The sequence below is a fragment of the Homo sapiens genome, chromosome 3 (genome assembly GCF_000001405.40).
Source record: "Homo sapiens chromosome 3, GRCh38.p14 Primary Assembly".
Classification (NCBI taxonomy): Eukaryota; Metazoa; Chordata; class Mammalia; order Primates; family Hominidae; genus Homo; species Homo sapiens.
This window is the reverse complement of record NC_000003.12, coordinates 156,978,454-156,999,981: the sequence shown is the minus strand read 5'-3', so window position 1 is coordinate 156,999,981 and position 21,528 is coordinate 156,978,454. Positions and strand designations below refer to the sequence as shown.

At 37.9% G+C, this 21,528-nt stretch overlaps 1 protein-coding gene and 1 pseudogene across 1 annotated transcript in view, besides 1 other annotated feature; one reads left to right on the top strand and one right to left on the bottom strand.

Annotated features, from left to right (window-relative positions):
- The window catches only part of LEKR1 (leucine, glutamate and lysine rich 1), a 219,777-nt gene that overhangs the window by 46,148 nt on the left and 152,101 nt on the right, over positions 1-21,528 (bottom strand). The window contains exons 7-9 of the mRNA NM_001004316.3: positions 20,707-20,788; positions 7,252-7,329; positions 6,705-6,908 (exon numbers count right to left, since the gene is read on the bottom strand). Coding sequence (NP_001004316.2) covers positions 6,705-6,908; positions 7,252-7,329; positions 20,707-20,788 — 364 coding nt within the window. The remainder of the gene's footprint in view (positions 1-6,704; positions 6,909-7,251; positions 7,330-20,706; positions 20,789-21,528) is intronic.
- CRADDP1 (CRADD pseudogene 1) lies at positions 11,243-12,210 on the top strand (annotated as a pseudogene).
- Positions 21,208-21,337: an enhancer, noted in NCBI's record as "active region_20734". NCBI's record gives its function as "activates an Ori minimal core promoter by ATAC-STARR-seq in GM12878 lymphoblastoid cells {active_cell/tissue: GM12878}" and the evidence as "EXISTENCE:reporter gene assay evidence [ECO:0000049][PMID:35858748]".

Below are 21,528 nucleotides of genomic sequence, written 5' to 3'. Positions count from 1 at the left end.
TTAGGGAATTGTGCAAACAGTAGAGAAGAGAACATGAGTTATAAGGTCAGACCCAACAGAGCTTGATTTCTGTCTTTGCCAATGATGTCACCCTGAGCAAGAAATTTAGCCTCAGTTAAATTAACGTTAATGTCCTCATCTCCAAAATGTGGAAAATGACACCTGCTTCACCAGTGAGGCAGGTGTGGCAGGCCACAGCTCTGCTAACCAGTGCCCTTGTGCAAATTTGGAAATGGCTTCTCTTCTGGGTTGGTGAATTAGAAAAAGCGCTCCCTCCGTCTGAGGGAAGACCTATGGACACAGGGCTTGGTAAGGAGAGATGGCAAACTTATGCAAGAAAAGTGAATCCCTTCCTCTGGCAAGTAGCTATGATGGCAGAGCCCAGGCTGGCCTCCTGTCCCCCTTAGCCCTTCCACTGAGCCTCACAAAATGGTACATGGCATTGTGCACAGGGTGCCGTGAAGGCAAGATAAGATAATGTCTACAGAAGCACTTAGAGGGCTCCTCATTGTGAAACCTGCGGATAGGTGAAAGAGCTTGAGAAAGAGAAAGGAAAACGGGAGGGGAGAAAAAGGGAGGGGAGGAGAGAGGAGACAGAAGGAGGGATAGAAAGAAAATGAGAAAGCAGGTATGTTTAATCATGAGGTCCTGCCATATATTTGAAAACAGGAGACTACAAACCTCTTGAAATAATGTGCTGGGTTTTGTGTATACTTTTCTGAAGTGAGTGTATTGTCTGTCTGTTCTCATGCTGCTATAAAGAACTGCCCGAGACTGGGTAATTTATAAAGGAAAGAGGTTTAATTGACTCACAGTTCCGCATTGCTTGGGAGGCCTCAGGAAACTTACAATCATGGAGTAAGGCAAAGGAGAAGCAGACACCTTCTTCACAGGGCGGCAGGATGGAGTGAGTGCCGGGCAAAGGGGGAAAAGCCCCTTATAAAACCATCAGATCTCGTGAGAACTCACTCACTATCACGAGAATGGCATGGGAGTAACTGCCCCCATGATTCAATCACCACCACTGGGTCCCTCCCATGACACGTGGGGATTATGGGAACTACAATTCAAGATGAAATTTGGGTGGGGACACAGCCAAACCATATCAGTGAGGGTTCATAGCTTTTGACTAAAAAGAAAAAGATGAAGGAGAGAGGAGAGGCCAAAAGAGAAGTTAATGTAATGCAGGTGAGGATGAGGGAAGTGGATAAAACCCTTCCCTGTAGCTTAAAAATTATGCTTTATGGGGAAATGGGGACAATTTAGTAAACTGCATTTAAGATACATAAGTATCTTAATACTTAATGCAGAGCCAAACAGATGCAGATGTATATTATTTATATCTCAGAATAATTTACACATAAGCAACTTGCACCTAACTTTAATTACGATTAAGCTTTTCCTCTAACAACATTCTTCATTGTTCCCATCATGTTATGGGCAAATTGATCACAATAAATCTCTTTCTGTATTTTTTCTTGGAGTTTACCAAGATAAAGATAATACAGCATCTAAGAATGCAAAGGGTATGAGAGCTATTATAAACAGTGTGTGTTCTGGCTGTATGGTTGTAGGCCACATGCTGGTGTAAGCGAATTTCTCCAAGTGCTATATGTAGGCAGTCTTCAAGCTTAAACACATATGTCCTTATAAAATATATTTGTACATTTGTTATAGAGAATTTAAGACATATTTTACTATAGAAATAGTTTTCCCTAAGGATGGAATTAGGTGCCCCTGTCAGCCAACAGGACACTTTTTAACCCACAATATGCCTGAAGGAGTGTTGCACATTCACAGTTCTGGGCAGAGTTCTGACCTTGGCCACCGAGACCTTGTGTCCCAGTAGGATGGGAGCTGAGGGCTGTCTTTACAAGAATTTTAAAAATGGCCACACTTTTCTCTGACATCATCCTTATGCCTTGCTGCATCCCTCTCCATCCATAAAGGAAACCCCTTTCACCAGTCCCAGTGTGTCCGTGACCAAGCTGGCCAGACTGTCTTTACCTGCAGAATCCCATGATTCGAGAAGACCTACTTCTTTTCCTTTCACTGAAGATTCTTCCCTACCTTTCACTTCCTCAGCTGAGTGTGGGGAAGATAGCAATGCCCAAATAAATAGATTTGTACTAATCAATGAACTATTTGCTAGTTACTAATTCCCTTATTTCTCCAAATTCAGAAGTTCTGCTAGTTTTTTTCTAGGGTCACCTCTGGCTTTTTACATCGTTTTCTTCTCTTCTGAAATACACAGCTTCTAAACTGCACAATTTGTGACCTCAGTAAGGGCTCTGCTCTCCTGAGGGGTCAGGGAGGAAGGCTGGTGTGTATCTGACACTGCTTGGATTTATGAAAGCACACAAAGTCAGTGGGAGTGAATGGGGCTCTGGCCTTTGGTGAGCACATCTGGTAGCCTGGTTGGTTGTAATACTTCCACAGCAGTGGTTTGGTACTTTGCCAAGTGGCAGATTCCTAGGCCCTACCCAGACCTACTGAACCAGAATCTCCTAGGGTATTATCAAGCATCTCTATATTAAAAGTGTTTCCTGAGCCCAGCTGCTTCTTTTGGAGGGATGTTCACACCTCCAACTGCTTAAGGAAATTTCTTATTTAAAAGTCCCATTGGTGCTTCAAATCAAAGCTTCAAGAGCAAACTTGCTAAGCTGAGACAGGGTCAGTTTACTGAAGGAAAAAAGTGGAAAGAGGAAAGTCAAGTTCAATTGTGAATTTTAAGGAATGTCTGCAATCAGGTGATCACAGGAGGGAAGGGGAAAGAACCAAAACAGAGCTAGAAAAGAGACCGAATAACAGGTTGCCCTGGAGCCAAAAGACCACCGTTTCAAGACAAGTTAGGACAGTAATGTCAAAAGCTTCTGAAGGCCATTTGTTCTTCAGAATATCTTTTTTTTTTTTTTTTAAATGAAGTTTTGCTCTTGTTGCCCAGGCTGGAGTGCAATGGTGCAGTCTCGGCTCACTGCAACCTCCGCCTCCCAGGTTCAGACGATTCTCCTGCCTCAGCCTCCCAAGTAGCTGGGATTACAGGCACCCGCCACCACACTCAGCTAATTTTTGTATTTTTAGAAGAGACGGGGTTTCACTATGTTGGCCAGGCTGTTCGCGAACCACTGACCTTAGATGATCCATCCACCTTGGCCTCCCAGAGTGCTGGAATCACAGGCATGAACCACCATGCCCGAATGAGAAGATCTTTTTAACCCTTAGGCTCACCATGGAGTAAGCCATGGCTATTTTACTACTACCCACTTGACATAGACACTTAACCCAACAGAAACTGACAGGGTGTAGGAGCTGGAGATCCTCATATTTCTCATATCTCTTAAGCTTCACTACCTATAAAATCCTTTATCAAAACAGTAAATGTCCTGACTTGCTCCCATTGCCAATACCTTCTCCGTCCAGCATCCAGAATGATTTTTCTACAGTGTCACTCTTCTGCTTAAATACCTTCAATGGTTTCTCTTCATTGCACTGAAAACAGCACCCAAACTCCCAAAGGCCTGCAAGGCCCTGCATGATGTGACCCTGCCTGCATCACTCACACTTACTATGCCACTAGCCACGCTACCCTGCTGTCCTTTCCCAGAACTCACCAACTTGTCTTTTGCTTGTAAAAGTTCCTCCCTGGCTCTTGGCCTGGTAACTTCCACTTGTCTTCCTTTAGGAAATGGGCAGAGTATCATCTTCGAAGTCACTTTTATGACCACCCTAGCCAAAGCAGGCACCTCTTCTATCAATTTTTACTACTTCATATCCATTATCACAATTTATAATTATTCTAGTCAGTTCTCTATTTTTTTGTTTTACTGTTTGTCTCTACCCTTAAAATATAAGCTATGTACTATGTACCCAGGGTACATAGTACCTGGCATATAATAAATGCCCAACAAATAATTGACAGACTGGCTGAATTACCCAAAGTGATCCATTCATTCATTCACTCATGCAACAAATATTTATTGAGTGGATATGTGTGGCAGGCTCTGGGCAGTTAGAGGACAAGGCAGACAAAATCTGAAAGTAGCCTAGAAAAAAGAAGAAGGCAACGCTTATGTTTAGGAGTAACCCTGTGATCACATGATAACCTACTGGTCTACAAGGACATTTTTAAAAAATTTATTTATTTATTTATTTTGAGACAGAGTCTCACTCTGTTGCCCAGGCTGGACAATGGCGTGATCTCAGCTGACTTCAATCTTTGCCTCCCAGGTTCAAGTGATTCTTGTGCCTCAGCCTCCTGAGTAGCTGGGATTATAGGCATGAGCCCCCATGCCCGGCTAATTTTGGTAGTTTTAGTAGAGATGGGGTTTTGCCATTTTGGCCAGGCTAGTCTTAAACTGCTGGCCTCAAGTGATCTGCCTGCCTTGGCCTCCCAAAATGCTGGGCTTACAGGTGTGAGCCACCGTGTCTGTCATTTTTATTTTTATTATGTGACAGACATCATGTCTGTAAACTTAGTGTCACCAATTACTAAGTACATGTATATTCTGGATAGACTAAAGCAGAGAGAATAAAGAAAGTACAAGGGCAATAATACAAGAAAAAAAAGAAAGGAAAAGAAGAAGAATAGGAGTTAGGTCAGTGATGTCACTATTCTCTGAAAGCTGATAGAAACTGTCCTTCTCATTCAACATTTAGAGGGTAAGATTATAGTCATAATAATTTTTTTAAAAACATGGCAAAACATATACATCCAAGTGAATGCTATTTCAAAGCAATTCCCCAAGAAAGCTATATATATATTCTACTGAGGTTACTAATCCTCAAAGCATTCATAAAACTCCCCTCTTCAAACTGCAGTCAGAGATAATTTATTAAGCATAGAAAAAGGGGAAAAATTTACTTTATTTTTGATCCCCAATAGTATTTCCCAGGTTGATTTCCCATCATATTCACTGGACTTATTTTCACTGGACCTATCTGAGACTGTTTCAAATATTCAGTGTATTCCTAAAGGATAAAGATCTGTCATACTGACGAGAGTCTAAAACATGTGCTTAAGCCAGTCCTTGGAGAAGAGTTCCAGAAACAATTAGACAAAGACAGGTTCTTCTCAATGACTTCAGTGAAGGAGACAGCATTCATCTGACTAAACAATTAAGCCTAATTAATCTGGCACCATTGGAAATATGATATTCTGGGTAATATAGGCACTGCTCAGATAACCAAAGTTCTAAACCAAATACTTTGAAAATTTGTATTTATTCCATGGTGTCTTTTCAAAGATGTATGATGTGTGTCTTTTGTATAGAATACATAACTGATTTTAATCTTTCTGACTATATACGTTAGCATATATAGGTTTTATCTCTGCTTACACATGCTGAATCTTTCAACTATCATTCCTTTTTTTATTAATAAGCCTGGCTCTTATACATTTCATTGTTATAAAATTGCAGCTTCTAATAAATGGCAGAGGAGGTGGGGTGGAATAGTCAGTTAAGTAGAGGGTACATTTTCGGTGTTGAAGGGTGAAGAGTAAATGGTGGGGGGATATCAGCTCTGCAGTTGCTAATCTTATTCAATAAAATATAAGTAATTATAAAATCATCCCAGGACGGACGAGAGATAAGCCTTGTTTCCCTATGAACTACACAGACTTCCTGCTTGCCTGGTGTAGAAACAGATTTGGTGCCCAGGGAACAGTGTTGGCAAGAAAGAGTTCTGAGACAAAAAAATCTAATTCTAAGATAACTGCTACCCACTACCCTGGTCCCCACCCCCAGACTCAGCAAACAGGTTTGCAAAGGAGGACTCAAAGAAAAAAAAGATTGTAACTCTTCTAAATTATATTCATAAAATAAAATATAAACTAAAATATAAAAATGATAGGAAGAATGAAAAACAAATAACCTATCATGTGCCTTCTGTGCACAGAAAATGATAGAAAACAAAAATTCCTGCCCTTATGAAACTTGTGTTCTTAGTTAATATAATAATTATATCAGTAAATGTAAATGAAATAATCTCTTAAAGAAGCCCAGATTTTTAAATCAATGAAACAAAAAAACCCTAAGATTTGTGCTATATATCAGATATGCATTTAAAACAAAAGGATTCAGAAAGAATGAGCAAAGACATAGCAGGCAAATGAAAACAAAAAGAAAGAAAGTAAGGTTGAAATATTAATTACAGATAAGGTTAAACACAAATTAACTAAACAAAAGTATCTTGGAAGCCTGGACCAATGTACTTCTTAGTATCCTCGATACCACCTAAGGAGGTATCTTTGCTTGTGCCATATCCTCCAACAAGATGTGCTGACAGACAAGGAGGAGAGAAGAAAAGTAGGAGCCAATAGAAGGAAAAAGTGATATAAAAAGATCTTTTCTGTTGGAAAAATGATAGAATCTACCAATCACTGACCCAGGTGAAATTTAGTAGTACAAGTATCACACGTGGTCTGATTTTTTTTTTTTTCAAGAAGAATTTGACACCAAATGCAACTTGGGCTTCATTCCTACTTTCACCAACTGCAACTTTACCAAGTCATGTAACCAACTGGAGCTTCAGTCTAATCACTTGTAAAATGAGGTGGTGGGATGCAATGACCTTGTAGGAGAAATATATCTTTAGTCCTGTGATTTCACTATTGTTATAATATGTCAGACACTGATGTTGCAAATATATATGGAATACTAACTTAAACATAAAATGTTTTTGTAAGAAATTATTGTTTACTGCACCTTTCATTTTTCAGTGTTAAAACCTCTTCCCTTGTCTGATTCAGAAGAGTTTTGGTTATCTCCAGTTCATTTTCTGCAAGGTTAATTCTTCTCTTTATGTCTTCTTCTTGCTTTTCTTTCACAGTCAGCTCTTCCTGTAATGCTTTATATATCTGTTGACAAGTCATTAAAGAGTCTTCTTTTTCCTTAAGCAGCATAGTATGCCTAAAAAGAAATAGGAAAAACACCCACCAACATACATTATATACTACATTTTATATTTACCAAAGATGTATCAAGAGCTCATTTGAAATTATAGATTATAACTGTAACTTTAAAAAATTAAAAATTTTAAAAAAAGAATGGTTCTATAATGTTAATATTTTCCCATCTAGGCAGTGGCAACAGCAATAACCAACTGCAAGATAATATAAGCTTGAATTAGGTATTTTATATGTAAACAATAAGAAAATAAAAAATGATAAGTGCCTTTTAAATAAAATGTTACTTAAATACAGTTTTAAGTTCAATTATTAAAAATATAAATTTAAAAATTGGTAATGCATACTGTGACTCAGAAATAATGGATTCAAACTTCAGTTTTTTAAGTTCTCTTTGACAGTCATCAGCTTCATTAGATTTATTCCTAAAATAATACAAAAGAAGTTAAAATATATTATTTCAAAATAAAGTATATGTTTTTCTGTAGCATTATTTTACTCATCAATAGAAGAAATTTCTTAACATCTTCATATTATTATTTGTTTAAAGAAATAAACATTCAGTTTACTTCTATACTGGCCAACAAAGCTTCTGTCAGACTGATTTGCATGTAAATAAAAAGTATAAACTGCACAACACTAAAAAACAAAAACAAATAAACAAAACCAAAACCCAAAATACCTATGTGAAGGTATTGGAAAGTGACTAAAAGCAGGGAGATTCTGGAGGAAAGTTGACAGTTGGAATGAGGTGACAGCATGGGGTTGGGCTATTAAAAATAATTTTAAGCCTGAGGGCAGCCCCCAGTCAGCACCCTGCAGGGGAACTAAAACTCTTAGAGAAATCGTCAGTCTTTCTGGCCCATAGAACCAGAGGCCATGGTATTTGGGGCAACCACAGCTGTTGGAAAGTAAAGAAAGGATGCTGAAGAGGCGAGAGCCGGAGAAAGAGAGTCCCAAATACTCCACATAAATTCTGCCCCTGAACTACACATGTATTAAGCATATTCCAAGCAGCCTAGTTAAAGAAAAAGAACTGAACTGAGATTGAGCTGTTATCCTGGACAGAGATTGCCATTTGAGGTGAAGCAACACCACTTCACCACTCTCAACAATAACAACGACAACAATATTTTTTGGAGAAATATAGCAGAATCCAGACTCTCTATAACATAATGTTCACAATGTCCAGAACATAGTAAAAAAGTATTCAGAAAAGTGTTACTCATTCTAAAGAGAAAGACAGTTAATAGGAACTGACTCTGAGATGACCCAGATATTGAAATGAGCAGACAAAGATTTTTGAAGAAGTAATTATTCACTTTGCTCAAAGACATAAAGGAAAATCTATTCTAATTAATAAAAAGATGAGAAATCTCAGCAGGGAAATAAAAACCATTAAAAAGAACCAAATGAAAGATCTAAAACTGAAAGAAAACTTTGCCTTGATCTTATATGATTGGGTTTTGTAACAATACTCAAAAGGTTAATATATTAAAAATTTAATATCCAATTTAAATGTATTCAGACTATTCATTAACTCGTTAAGTCATAATCTGAAAATATCTCAAAATAGCTTGTAAATCACACAATGAATTATGTAAGATTATCAATGCCCTCCTTGCAGAATGACTTTAATTTCTAGTAATAATGTAAAAACCATCATGAACATACACAATATTCATTTATTTTTAAATCTTTTTTATTATAAAATATAACAAAATTGTAAGATACAGAAAAGAGCATAAAACAATTATATAATATAATGAATTATTATAAGAAGAATACTCTGGTGATTACCATCCAGGTTAAAAAATAAAACCTTACCAGCTACTCTAGAAGTCCTTTTTGTCCCTGGTTCCAATCATAGCCAACTCCCCGCTCCCTAAAAGTAACCATTCTCATGAATAATATTGTAATCACTGATTTTCCTTAGGGCTTTATTACCTAAGTTTTATCTCTCAACACTATATTTTAATTTTGCTTTTATTTTAAAGCCATTATAAATGTTCTCTGCCACTGCCCTATTTTTGTAAAAATGTCTCTATTAAGGTATTGTATTGACATATAATACACTGCACATCTTTAAAGTGTATAATTTGATACATTTGACATATGTATATTCCCATGAAGCCATCACTACAATCAAGTAGCACATGAGCAGATTCAGAACCCAGATCTGGGCTTCTATCACCATTCCCTATTAGAGGAACCAGGACTACTCATAGAAATAACTGATTTCAAGGCTGGGGCAAAGTAAGTATATCTGAAATATTTTGTGATGCCAGAAAGTAAGAAAGTGTTTACAAAAGATGATGACATAATATTCTAATTTCAGAAGAGCCAGTTTGAAGGGGCTTCTACTTACTAAACCTAGAACAATCGGAGCACCAAAATAATTCAGTACAGTAATAAATTATAAGCCATTAAAAGAAAGGAATTGATGAGTCTGTACAATAAATAAATAGATGAAGGTAGGATCTTGCTTACAGTAGAATGGTAAGGCCTAACTAGTAAATGGGGAGGATGATCTGGAATTTTAAAAAGTCATCATTTAGCAATCGCTATAGTAAAACTGAGATCAGGCAAAAATCACTAATGGATGCTATATCTAAGGATAAATTTTGGTGAAAAGCAGTATATTTACATGCATTTAAAGTGTCTCTTCTAGACTTCTTATTAATCGAAAGAGAACAAACCCCCCAGTAATTATGCAGAAAAATTGAGCAACATCTTGATCAGGTGATCAAAATTAACATCATCAGTTGGGGTCAAATTGTTATCATGTGCCTCCAGATGTGATGCCCTGAGGACACATCACCCCCTATGTGGTTTTCTGGCTAAGAATACATATCCTTAATCTAATAGAGAGGAATCATCAGACCAATAAAAATGAAGAATTTTTTATTTTTAAAAAGTGTGAGGGGTTCTGCATTCTTAAAAAATTCAGTGTCATTAAAAGACAAAGACAAAATGTGGAAATATTCTAGATTAAAGGAGGCTAAAGAGATATCTGAGTAGATTAACTCCAGATTGGATCCTGTACTAGAAGAGAAAATGTTATAAAAGATATCATTAGGTCAACTGACAAAATTGAAATATGGATGGTAGATTAAAGTATTGTATGTAAATTTATGACACTGATTAGGCTGGCTGAAGTATCTAGAGGTAAAGGGCTATGTTGCATGTAACTTATCCTCAAAACGGTTCAGGAAAAAAATTTGTGTGTGTGTGTGTCTTTCTGTCTGTGTGTGTGCAGAGAGAGAGGGAGAGGGAGGAAGAGAAGGAGGGTAAAGAGGGAGAGAGAGAGAGAAAGCAAATGAGTTAAAATGTTAACACTAGGTGAAAATGGGTAAAGACTATCTGGGTGCTCTTTGAACTATTATTATTTTTACAACTTTTTGTAAGTTTGAAGTTATTTCCAAATAAAACATTAGAAAAGAAGAAATAGAAAAATATTAACATACAGTTAGAAAAATGGGCAAAGGCTCAGGTGAGTCACAAAGAAAAGAATACAAGGAGCTAGAAATGCAGGGGTACAAATTTTATCAATTTTAAAAGTTATAATACCCACTATTGTCCAGGAAGCAGAGAAATGAGTATTTATAAACACTGTTGAGATTACATATCTGTATAGGCTTACTGGAGGACAGTGAGTTATTATGCATTAAAAGCCTTAAAAATATTCAAGTTTGATTCTAGCAAAAATTATGCTAAAGAAATAACTGTGTGTGAATAGACTTAGCTACGTGAATTTTCCAAGTGCCTTACTTATACAAATAAAAAACTTGACATTCTAAAAACAAGGTGTTAATAAGTTATGGTTCATCCATAGATTGGAATATTATGTAGCCATTTAATAATTTTCCATAAATGTATAAAGTAATGACATGGAAAAACGTCCAGGATATATCACTAAGCAAAAAGTTCGCAAAACAGTAGATAAAGTGGCTGGGCACGGTGGCTCACACCTGTAATCCCAGCACTTTGGGAGCCAAGGCAGGTGGATCATGAAGTCAGAGTTCAAGACAAACATGGCCAACATAGTGAAACCCTGTCTCTACTAAAAATACAAAAAATTAGCCGGGTGTGGTGGTGTGCACCTGTAATCTCAGCTACTCGGGAGGCTGAGGCAGGAGAATCGAGTCAACCCGGGAGGCGGAGGTTGCAATGAGCCGAGATCGCACCATTGCACTCCAGCCTGGGCGACAGTGCGAGACTCCATCTCAAAAAAACAAAAACAACCCAAAACAGTGCATAAAGTATATTCCCAATTATGTTAAAAATGCAAACTACTTAGAAAAATGGACTAGAGTTCCCTCCCCCTCAAAGATACATCAAAGATACATCATTGTAGACTGAGAAATGGAGGCCAGAGACAAACAAGTGCTTTGCTTACTTTGCCTGAAGCTGGGTGCAGAGGCATTGGTGGAGGGACTGGTTCTTCAGTACCTTTACCAGGAAGGAATCTTGACAGGAAACCATGTCCAAGAAATTAAAGATCAAGCCACACGCCTCAAGAAAACAATGCTGCTGCTGCATAGCCTACTTTCCAGGGGTCCTAAAGCATTTGATACTTTCCTAGATTCGCTACAGGAATTTTCGTGGGTAAGGGAGAAGCTGGAGAAAGCAAGGGAAAAAGCCATGACTCAGCTGCCTGCAGGTGACACGATGACTGGGATCCCCTCGCACATCATCAGCTCCCCAACAAACTGGCAGATTAATCAGCTGACCCAGAGGCTGGGCCCTAAGTGGAAGTCCATGGTGCTGTCTTTGGTACTGTTCTAGACAGATATCTACCGCTGTAAGGCCAACCATCTCCACAATGTGCACTTGTAGGTGGTGGAGGCCTTTGTCTGTTGGTGGCAGCGCTTTGAGAAGCAGGCAACTTTCCAGAGCTTGCACAATGGGCTGCAGGCATGGAGGTAGACCTCTTGGTGTTCCTGCACATGTTGGAGTGAAAGTGCCTCTGCCAACCAGCTGAAGAGCATGTCTCCAAGTCACATGGACTGAATCCTGACTTTCAGTCAGAACAAGTGGTTTTTGGTTTAGTTTAGGTTTGTTTTTTCTTTTTAATGATCCTCAGATGGAAAGAGAAAACAGGGTTTCCACTTGACATTACCTGAAAGGCCAGATTACTCAGTAGATCTCCCAGATTGGTTCAACAATTCGTTGTTTTTAATTGCTTGAAGATTGCCTTGTTATGATTGCACAGCTTTAAATTGTGTGATGGCCTACTAGACTAATTAAAATAGATGATTTACTAGACTAATTAAAATAGTCTAGTAAATCATAGTGGCTCACAAAACCTCAAAAAACAAAAAACCCCAAAGCCCCATGTTATCACATTACATGTAGGTGTCTTATATGTAAAACATTCACTTTTATATTGCCTGGGAACTGAAATGTGGACTTTATTATTCATGATAAGAAAATAAAATGTAAATTACTTAAAAAAGGAAAATGGACTAGAAGAATATATCAAAATATAACTATGACTTTTTTGTATATCCTTGTATTTTCCAAGTTTTACACATTTGCTTTGAAATCAAACAAAAATGTTTCTTTTACAAATGCCTTTGAGATTCAGCAGCCCTACCACAACTTTCACTGTATGTTCAGACTGTTATGTACACTTTCCCAAATCTAGAAGCAGGAACAGAAGAACTCCTTTTAGTGGTTATTTTACTATGTAGATAATAAATTTGGGCTGCATTTTTTTAAAGCCACCTATCATCCTAGGAAGTCCCCTCAGCATGGTTCCTTCCCCTGCCCCACACCAGTTAAGCCAGTCTTTTTATGGTCTACCTTTGTTACCCAATTGTTATCTTCACCTTCATTAGGACGGATAAATTGGATGGAATAGAAAGAATGTCTACATCTCTTTAAGCATTGCATTCCTTCTTTTACTCTTAGCAAATAGTGGTAATCCTTTCTCTTCAATTGTTACAAGTAAACCTTCAGAAAGGTCCCTGCTGCTCCTGCCAATACAATACAATACAATACAATACAATACAATACAATACAATACAATACAATACAATACAATACAATAGCTAGCTATTTCCCCCCACTTTGAAAGGTGATGCTATATGCCACTCCATTCGCTTATATGGAACAGCCATTCTTAAACTAACTCCTTGATATTTCCACTGTGCAGTCTCAAAGGCATCTCAACTCTAACAAATCAAAAGCATTGTTTTTGATTCCTCCACTCCCTTATCTGCTTCTTTCACAGAATTTCCCACTTCAGTAAATGAAACAAACACAATGATGATAGTAAAAGGTAACACATTATGTATCTTGTGCACTCCTCAAAGAAGCCCTTATTCCCATTTTATGGTTTAGGGAACTGAGACCAAAGAGAAAGAGAAAAGAAACTTGCCCAAGTTGACGTAACTACTAAGTTGTAGTGCTGGGATTTGAACCCCAGCAGTCTGGATCTGGAGTCTGAGCTCTCAGTCACTGCACTTTGCTGCCTCTCAACTGTCTACCCTGATGCAAAAAGGATCAAGCCCGTCTTTATTCTTTCGTTTCACTTCCAGTCTTCTTGCTCCCCAGTCACATTTTCTCTATCAGTAAATCAGATTGACCTCTGACATATATTTCTCTCCATCTCCATGCTACAGTCTTAGGCTAAACCATAATTACTTCTCACTTGCATGAATGCACAGCCTTCCACCCAGACTCCCTGATATTGCTTTTACTCCTACTCCAGTCCATTCTTGAAGGAGCAACCACAGTGACCTTTTAAAAAACAGATTAGATTACTCTCTTAGAATTCTCCCCAAGCTTCCCATTGCTCTCCTTATAAATCCAAACTCCTCAGAAACTCTTCAGGAAACACTGGTCAATTTAATTTCTTATTGCTGCTGTAACAAATGACCACAAGCTTAGTGTTTTAAAGCAATACAAATTTATTATTTCACAGTTCTGGAGGTCAGAAGTCCTAAAATCAAGGTGTCACCAGGTCGTGTTCCTTCTGAAGGCTCCAGGGGAGAATTCATTTCCTTACCTGTTCTAGCTTCTAGAGCCCACCTGTATTTCTTGTCCTGTGGCCCCTTCCTCCATCATCGAATCACATCACTGCAATCTCTGTTTTCATACTCACATCTGCTTTTGTGACTTTGACCCTCTTGCTTCCTCTTATAAGGATCCTCGTGATTATATTAGGCCTGCCCACATAATCCAGGATAATTTCCCCATTTCAAAATTCTTTTTTTTTTTTTTTTTTTGACACAGAGTCTCGCTTTGCTGCCCAGGCTGGAGTGCAGTGGTGCGATCTTGCCTCACTACTGCCTCTGCCTCCCTGCCTCCAGGTTTCAAGAGATTCTTGTGCCTCAGCCTCCTGAGTAGCTGGAATTACAGGTGTGTGCCATTACACCCAGCTAATTTTTGTATTTTTTAATAGAGACAGGGTTTCACCATGGTGGCCAAGTCATACTCCTGGCCTAAAGGGATCCACCTGCCTCGCCTCAGTCTCCCAAAATGCTGGGATTACAGGTATGAGCCACTACGCCTGGCCTCAAAATTCTTAATCGCATTTGTAAAGTCCCTTTTGCCATGTAAGGGAACATACAGATTCCAGGGATTAGGACATGAAACTCTTTGGGGAGCCGTTATTCTGTCACTACAACTGGCCTTCATGTTTTTTGAACTTGTAAAACTGATTTCCAAGAAACGTAGGGTCTTGTCTTGATCTCCTTCCTCCCAGATGTAATCATGGCTAGCTCCTTTCTGTTATTCATATCTTAACTTAAAGATCATCTACTCAGGGATGCCATTCTGACCACTCTGTCAAAAGTATACCACCCCTCTCCACTACTCACATTCTATTATGCCTATTTTATATTTTTGCGGCACTTAGCATTGTCTGAAAAGTAACTCTATGGAAATGTGCCAATCTTGTTACTCCAATATCTAGTGCCTGCACACAATAGTCCTGGCTCTCAGTAAACATTTTGTATTGAATAAATAAATGAAATAAACATAGCCTGTTCAAGTTAGGACCATGTGAAAAATGGATCTGTACACTGACACTGGAATGCCACCAGGCCACCTTCTGCTTGCCAGGAAGAAATTTTCATGAATGAACAGGAAGGTGAGAGGAAAATCAGGAGAACGCTGATATTTATATCTCAATAATAGAGACTGTCCCAAGAACAGATTGGTCAACTGTCAGATGCTGTTGAAAGGCCAAGTAAGAGCTTTAAAAATTAGTACTTTGTGATGGTCAAAAGTTTACTATTGTTCAAATTATCAGTTAAATGAGCAGTAGGTGACTGTTAATGAAATTAAAATGTAAGTCCTGTGTTAGCTTGCTTAGAAAAAAAAAGGAATTAAAGTGTAAGTACATTACAGAGGTTCTTAAATTAGAAAACATTTTTTTAAAATTTTTTTTGAGACCGAGTCTCGCTCTGTCACCCAGGCTGGAGTGCAGTGTCGCAATCTTGGCTCACTGCAACCTCTGCCTCCCGGGTTCAAGCAATTCTCCTGTCTCAGCCTCCCGAGTAACTGGGACCACAGGCACCTGCCACCATGCCTGGCTAATTTTTGTATTTTTAGTAAAGGCGAGGTTTCACCATATTGGTCAGGCTGGTCTCGAACTCCTGACCTCAGGTGATCCACCCGCCTCAGCCTCCCAAAGTGTTGAGATTACAGGCATGAGGCACTGCGCCCGGCCAGAAAACATATTTTACATAATCACTTAGACATATTCTTAGTGACAGATTATAAATCATTTTAAGTAAATTTTGTTCTTATCACATACATGAAAATAAATATATCCAAAGTGTAAAGCATTCAAGCAATATATAATAGAGTGAGATAAGAATTTCCACACAGCCCACACTTTCATTTCTAGAGGTAACTTGTAATCCTATCATTTATTCAATGTATTTAAATCCATATGCATGTGTATGTGCATTGGTATTCATTTTTAGCATGAATGGGATCATTTTTCTGATATTTCTAATCTCCCGAATTCCTAATAGCCTGCCATAACCGTCTGTTCTTTTATGGTTACAATCCTGGACATACTTTGGGGGATATCAGTTATACTTATTCTAATATCTGTTTGCTATTTAACAATTTTCTAGGGTGTTAAGGATTTTCTGTGTGAATTCATAGCCACTTTTTGGGGGGACTTGGGGGGAGGTGTTTCTTCACATACCTAGTAATCTTTGGTTGTGTTGAATCCTCAGACTTAAGATCCTCTGTTTGCTTGTCTGCTTTGCTGTTTATTTTTGCCCTGATTGTTTTTAGAGGTGTAATGAAGGGGCAGGGTATGCTACCTGGTGGGGGCACTGGAGGTTTGTCTTGGGCTGTGGGGACCCTGGTCTCTCCTGGGATTCAGTAGCTGCCAGGCTGTTTGACTCTAGTCCACATACTCATTGTGTTAGTCTGAGTATAGATGCTTCTGCAAATGCTGCTTCACACAGGGCTGATTGTAGGGTATTGATGAGGGGCCAGCTGGCTTAAATGGTCCATATGTAATTCCTCAGAGTGGGTTTCACTGGACCACCTGAATCAGTATCATGTGGGGAGTGCATTAAAAATGTGATTGCTTGGAGCCACCCCAGACATAAATATAGAACCAGATTATCTGTGGAAAAGGAGCCCAGAAATCTGGTCCTGAGGCTGAGTCTGTGGGAGAGGCCATACTGTAATATAGAATTTTAGCAAGCTACCCATGATTCTTATGTAGATTGGAGTGTGACAACCACTATTTCAATGATTCACCAGGTCTCACTCCCTTCTCTGTGTTTTAATTAATTCCGAGGAAGGTCCTGTCTATCCCATGCCCACCAGCATCACCACTCAATTGCTCTTCACCTGGGTTATTCCTCAGTAGAGTTTACCCTTTCTACTATCCTTTCTATGTATTACCTTTCAGGAATTCCTAGAAATTTCTCACCATAAATGACAGTCTTTCTTTTAAGGCTTATTTATCTATCTTTATCCTGGAAGTTACTGTATAATTGCAGAAATGCTGATGATGTTTTATCAGTTTACAAAACTGATGTTTCCTATACATACAAGACCTTCTTAAAAATTAAAAAATGGGCATAATGCCCATTTTTAGAAATGTGAATTAGGAAGGATAGAGCCACTTAAGTGGCTTCAGGTGCTGGAGACCTTTCTCTATGCTACCTGTCTCTAGCTCTTCCATCTATCTATCTATCTATCTATCTATCTATCTATCTATCTATCTATCTATCTACACACACACACACACATATTCATATATATATGAAAGTAATAAAAGTATATTTTATATCCATATATGTTTAAAAGCAATAGAACTAGATTTTATAGTCTTCATATTTTTCATTATTTCAGGGAGGTGTTCCCTTAATTAATCTAGATATTATAGTACTTAAAAATAAAATTTGTAGAAAATTTCATCAAGCTCTCAGAGCATCATTAAAGCTCTACCTCTTTAGCAAACGCTACTGGTTACCTTCTGAACATTCACTACAGCTTATTTCCTGCCCATCAGAGTTCCAATTATTATTTGTTCTAAGGATAAATCTTGCTTGGTCTAAGGTAATTGTAGCAGCCCTGTTCCCCTTGCCAGTGGTTCACTTAGGAGAGGATATGTAAAGGGTTCTAGACAAGGAAATATAAGGAGAATGCTGTTTGGTGGCATCTGATAATTCTTTTTTCTCACTTCTAAAAAGACACTAGAAAACCATCCCTTCCTGCCTGCAGGCACCATATCCAAATGAGGCCTCTAGAGTGGAGGAACTGCAGCCATCTTGCGATTATAGGGACCTGACTTAGCTTTGGGTTGAAGCCAGTGCTGAGGGCAGCAGGATGGAGACAGAAAGAACATCAAGATCCTTGGGGATATTGCTGAGACTCTTATCAACTAAAACTGACATTATCCTACCTCTGTTACTTGCAGCCCAAAGCATTCTGATAAAATCTCTATTTTTAAATACATAACAACGTTCTTTTAAACCTTGGAAAATATTTTCTTAAAAATCTTGGAAAAAGAACCCCAGTTTCACCCATTTATAAATTGCTTCTTCCTTTTATTGTCAAAATTCACAAAACTTATATCCAAATATTTAAAAATCTTTAAACAACACAAAGAATTAACTTACAGGTGACAAACATTCCTATTCCCAGCCCCCACAAAGAATAAGGATTAAAAATGGAAGAAACCTGATTTCATAGCATATTCCAATTTCTGGAAGTCCAAAGAGGTTTGAGTGTGCACAGGAAATCTTGAGTTTACTAACAAATTGTATTAATATATCAAATTTTTTGAATGAACTGTTTTGACTTCAAACTTATCATTACAAAAATGGCGAAGCCACACATTTGACTCTAGCCTCACCTCCTGACCTCTGAGCAACCTGAGGCTTTAAGCAGTCCCAGGCTTTGATCCTAAATGCCCATACTCCTCAACTTAATCCTAGCAGTAAAGGAGAGTAGATAGAGTATAGATGGAAGAGCTAGAGACAGGTAGCATAGAGAAAGGTCTCCAGCACTTGGAGCCATTTAAGTGGCTCTATCTTTCCTAATTCGCATTTCTAAAAATGGGCATCATCTCCATTTTTTAATTGTTAAGAAGGTCTTGTACGTGTAGGAAACATTAGTTTTATAAACTGATAAAACATCATCAGCATTTCTGCAATTATACAGTAACTTCCTACAGATAATTAGTTTGATGGACTTTAGTGGTGTATTTCTCCCTGCATCTCCAGTCTACCCTGACTCTCACCATTTCTCAGCACAAGTTATGTTAAAATTATAATAAACAAAAATACCACAAAGCATGTGTTAATATTAAATGGGCAGGCTCCATGCACAGTCATTCATTGCTTTACAACAGGGGTACATTCCAAGAAATGTGTCATTACGCAATTTTGTCATTGTGTGAACATCCTTGAGTGTACACAAACCAAGATGGAATAACCTACTACACACGTAGGCTATACGATATAGCCTATTGTTCCTAGGCTACAAACCTATACAGAATGCTAATGTATTGAATAGTGTAGGTAATTGTAACACAATGGTAAGTATTTGCATATCTAAACATATCTGACCATAGAAAAGGTACAGTAAATATACGGTATTATAATCTTATAGGACCATCTTTGTATACATGGTCTGTCACTGACCAAAATGTCATTATGCAGAACATGAATATACACAGAATTCTGTGCCAACTTATTCTGTAAAATATCAATTCATGTCACTACCAGTAAGTTTATTCCTTTTCTTCACTATGCTCATTTCTATGTTAAGCTTCTTTCCTAACTTTCTAAGACTCCACTATATATGCTAAGTCTTGGTATGCCCACAAATTCCCTCTTAGCTTAGTTGTGTGCTAACACCACCTCCCTATGCCTAGACTGTGCCCTCTTCACTCCAAGAAGCAATCATCACACAGTAGCTGGGGCCTGACTAGACTGCTTTCCACAAGAGATATCCACATGGCCAAACCCCTCCTTGATGTTATTAGAGGGACAGCAACAACGATTTTTTTTTTTCTAGCAACCATCACCTTGTTTCTTTTCATGATTTAAAACAATCTCCCAAAAAGTTACTTCCTGGGCCTAGGGGGTCTTCTAAGGACCCCCGTCCACCAATTCCTTCAACCCCAGCCATCTACACAGACACCTGAACTACTATACTTACTGTACTATTAACCACAGTGTTATAAAGTATGAATATTTTATTTTCCTTTTCAGAAACAAACTATTTTGTTACAAATAATCCAAGTATACATTAATTTGATAGGGTATTTTTGGTATTTGTTCCTTCTTGTGTTCAGTATTTTATTAAACACATTGATTTTAGGAGTAGTTCATGGTCAACACAAACATTTGGTTGCTAAGCATTCTAAATATTTATGTTTTTATGAGGTTCATCCTCCTAAAATATAGGAACTGAAAATCATATATATCATAAAGTAAAAGAATCTACTTACTTTTCAAAGATTATATACATACTATTTTAGTATTATAATTATAGATATACTATGTTTATGCTATAATTTTTGAAATTTCTGAAATAAAAGTAATTTTTACTTATTTATTCATTTTGAGACAGGGTCTCACTCTGTCGCCCAGGCTGGAGTGTAGTGGCATGATCATGGTTCACTGTAGCTTCAACTTTCTAGGCTTAGGTGATCTTCCCAGTTCAGCCTCCCGAGTAGCTGGGACTACAGGAGTGTGCCAACACGCATGGATAATTTTTGTATTTTTTTGTGGAGACAAAGTTTCTCCGTGTTGCCCAGGCTGAAAATTAATTTTTAAAAGAAATAGTGTTCTTGATTTTACATCATTTTCTTATCACGTGTTTTCCAATATTTCTTTCTCACTTATATCAAGCATAAGTACTTCAGCATTTCAAAGCTACTCAACTCTCTCTTTGAAGCTAAAATTAGTAATTTTGAGATACAAGTTCAATATTGTTTCTTGTGGAGAGATAATAAAGAAACAAAGATAAGAAAAAAGTTCAAAGACTATTTCACATTAAGTTACTGCATTTGAACTATCAGGGAAAGCTTTAATATATGGATAAGTAAGTTTCTTATTGAGAGAAAGAAATCCTCCATGTATTTAAAAATATTTACAGGTTCTTCAATATATAATCTAGGCCAGTAAAGTGGGCAAGAAAAGCAGCAGTAAACTATTACCCACACCAGTAAATCACTGCCAAAAGAATCACAGAGAACACACCAGGGTCTTTATAATTCTTGTCATTTCTTCCTAATTCTTGCCATTTTGTAACACATCTACAGAGCACTGTTATAAGTTGTTTAATATTCTCCATCTTACATAAGCATTTCTTTATAGTTGTCCATCTCTGTCACCGCCTTCTGAAGTTTTAATCCAAGTGCCTCTACTAGACATTGTAAATCTGAAATGACACAATGTATTTCATCTGATTAGTACATTTTAAGTGTCCAGATATTTTCATAGAGTAAACCATATTCTTTTGTTGCTAGTCAGCTCCTGAAGAATAAGGCAGCTGCTTATTCCACTTTGCCTGTATGTCCATATGCAACTTATCATTGCCTACTCAGCCCTCCCTATCCTAACACCCCACAGACTTAATGGGTTTTGACAGGCCCAATTTGTTGGCCTCTTTCTGCCCCCACCACCATGCTGATTTTCAAACAGCTAATAGGCTAAATTTTACTAATGTTTTCAAAGGAAATGTATGTAGCTGACAAACATAAGAATTTCTGATCACGTGTCTTGTTTCTAAAACACATGATTGCCTGAGCTCACTTTTGTGGTCTGGAACTGTGAAGCATGGCTGAGTCTTCCTGCTAGAACTAAAACAGACAAATCATGTTCCAGGCTCATAGTAAAGAACGTGTTAACTCTGGGTAGCATCTAAAAGGCATTTTAGTGACTTTCAAAACCAAGAGAATACAAGCAGGAAACTGGCTTCCATAGAGTCTTTAACTGGAGAATGTAAGCAGTATTTGAGGATTATTATTCAAGCAGCCCTGTCTAACAAGTGTGTGAATGCAGAACTGAAACCATAGCAGAAAGAACAAATGGCTTGAATTATCTAAGTCCTTCCATTGTCCTGTGTGTGGAAACTGTGATCTGAACCCCAGCCCCAGTGACAGCCCTTGCTGGTACGCT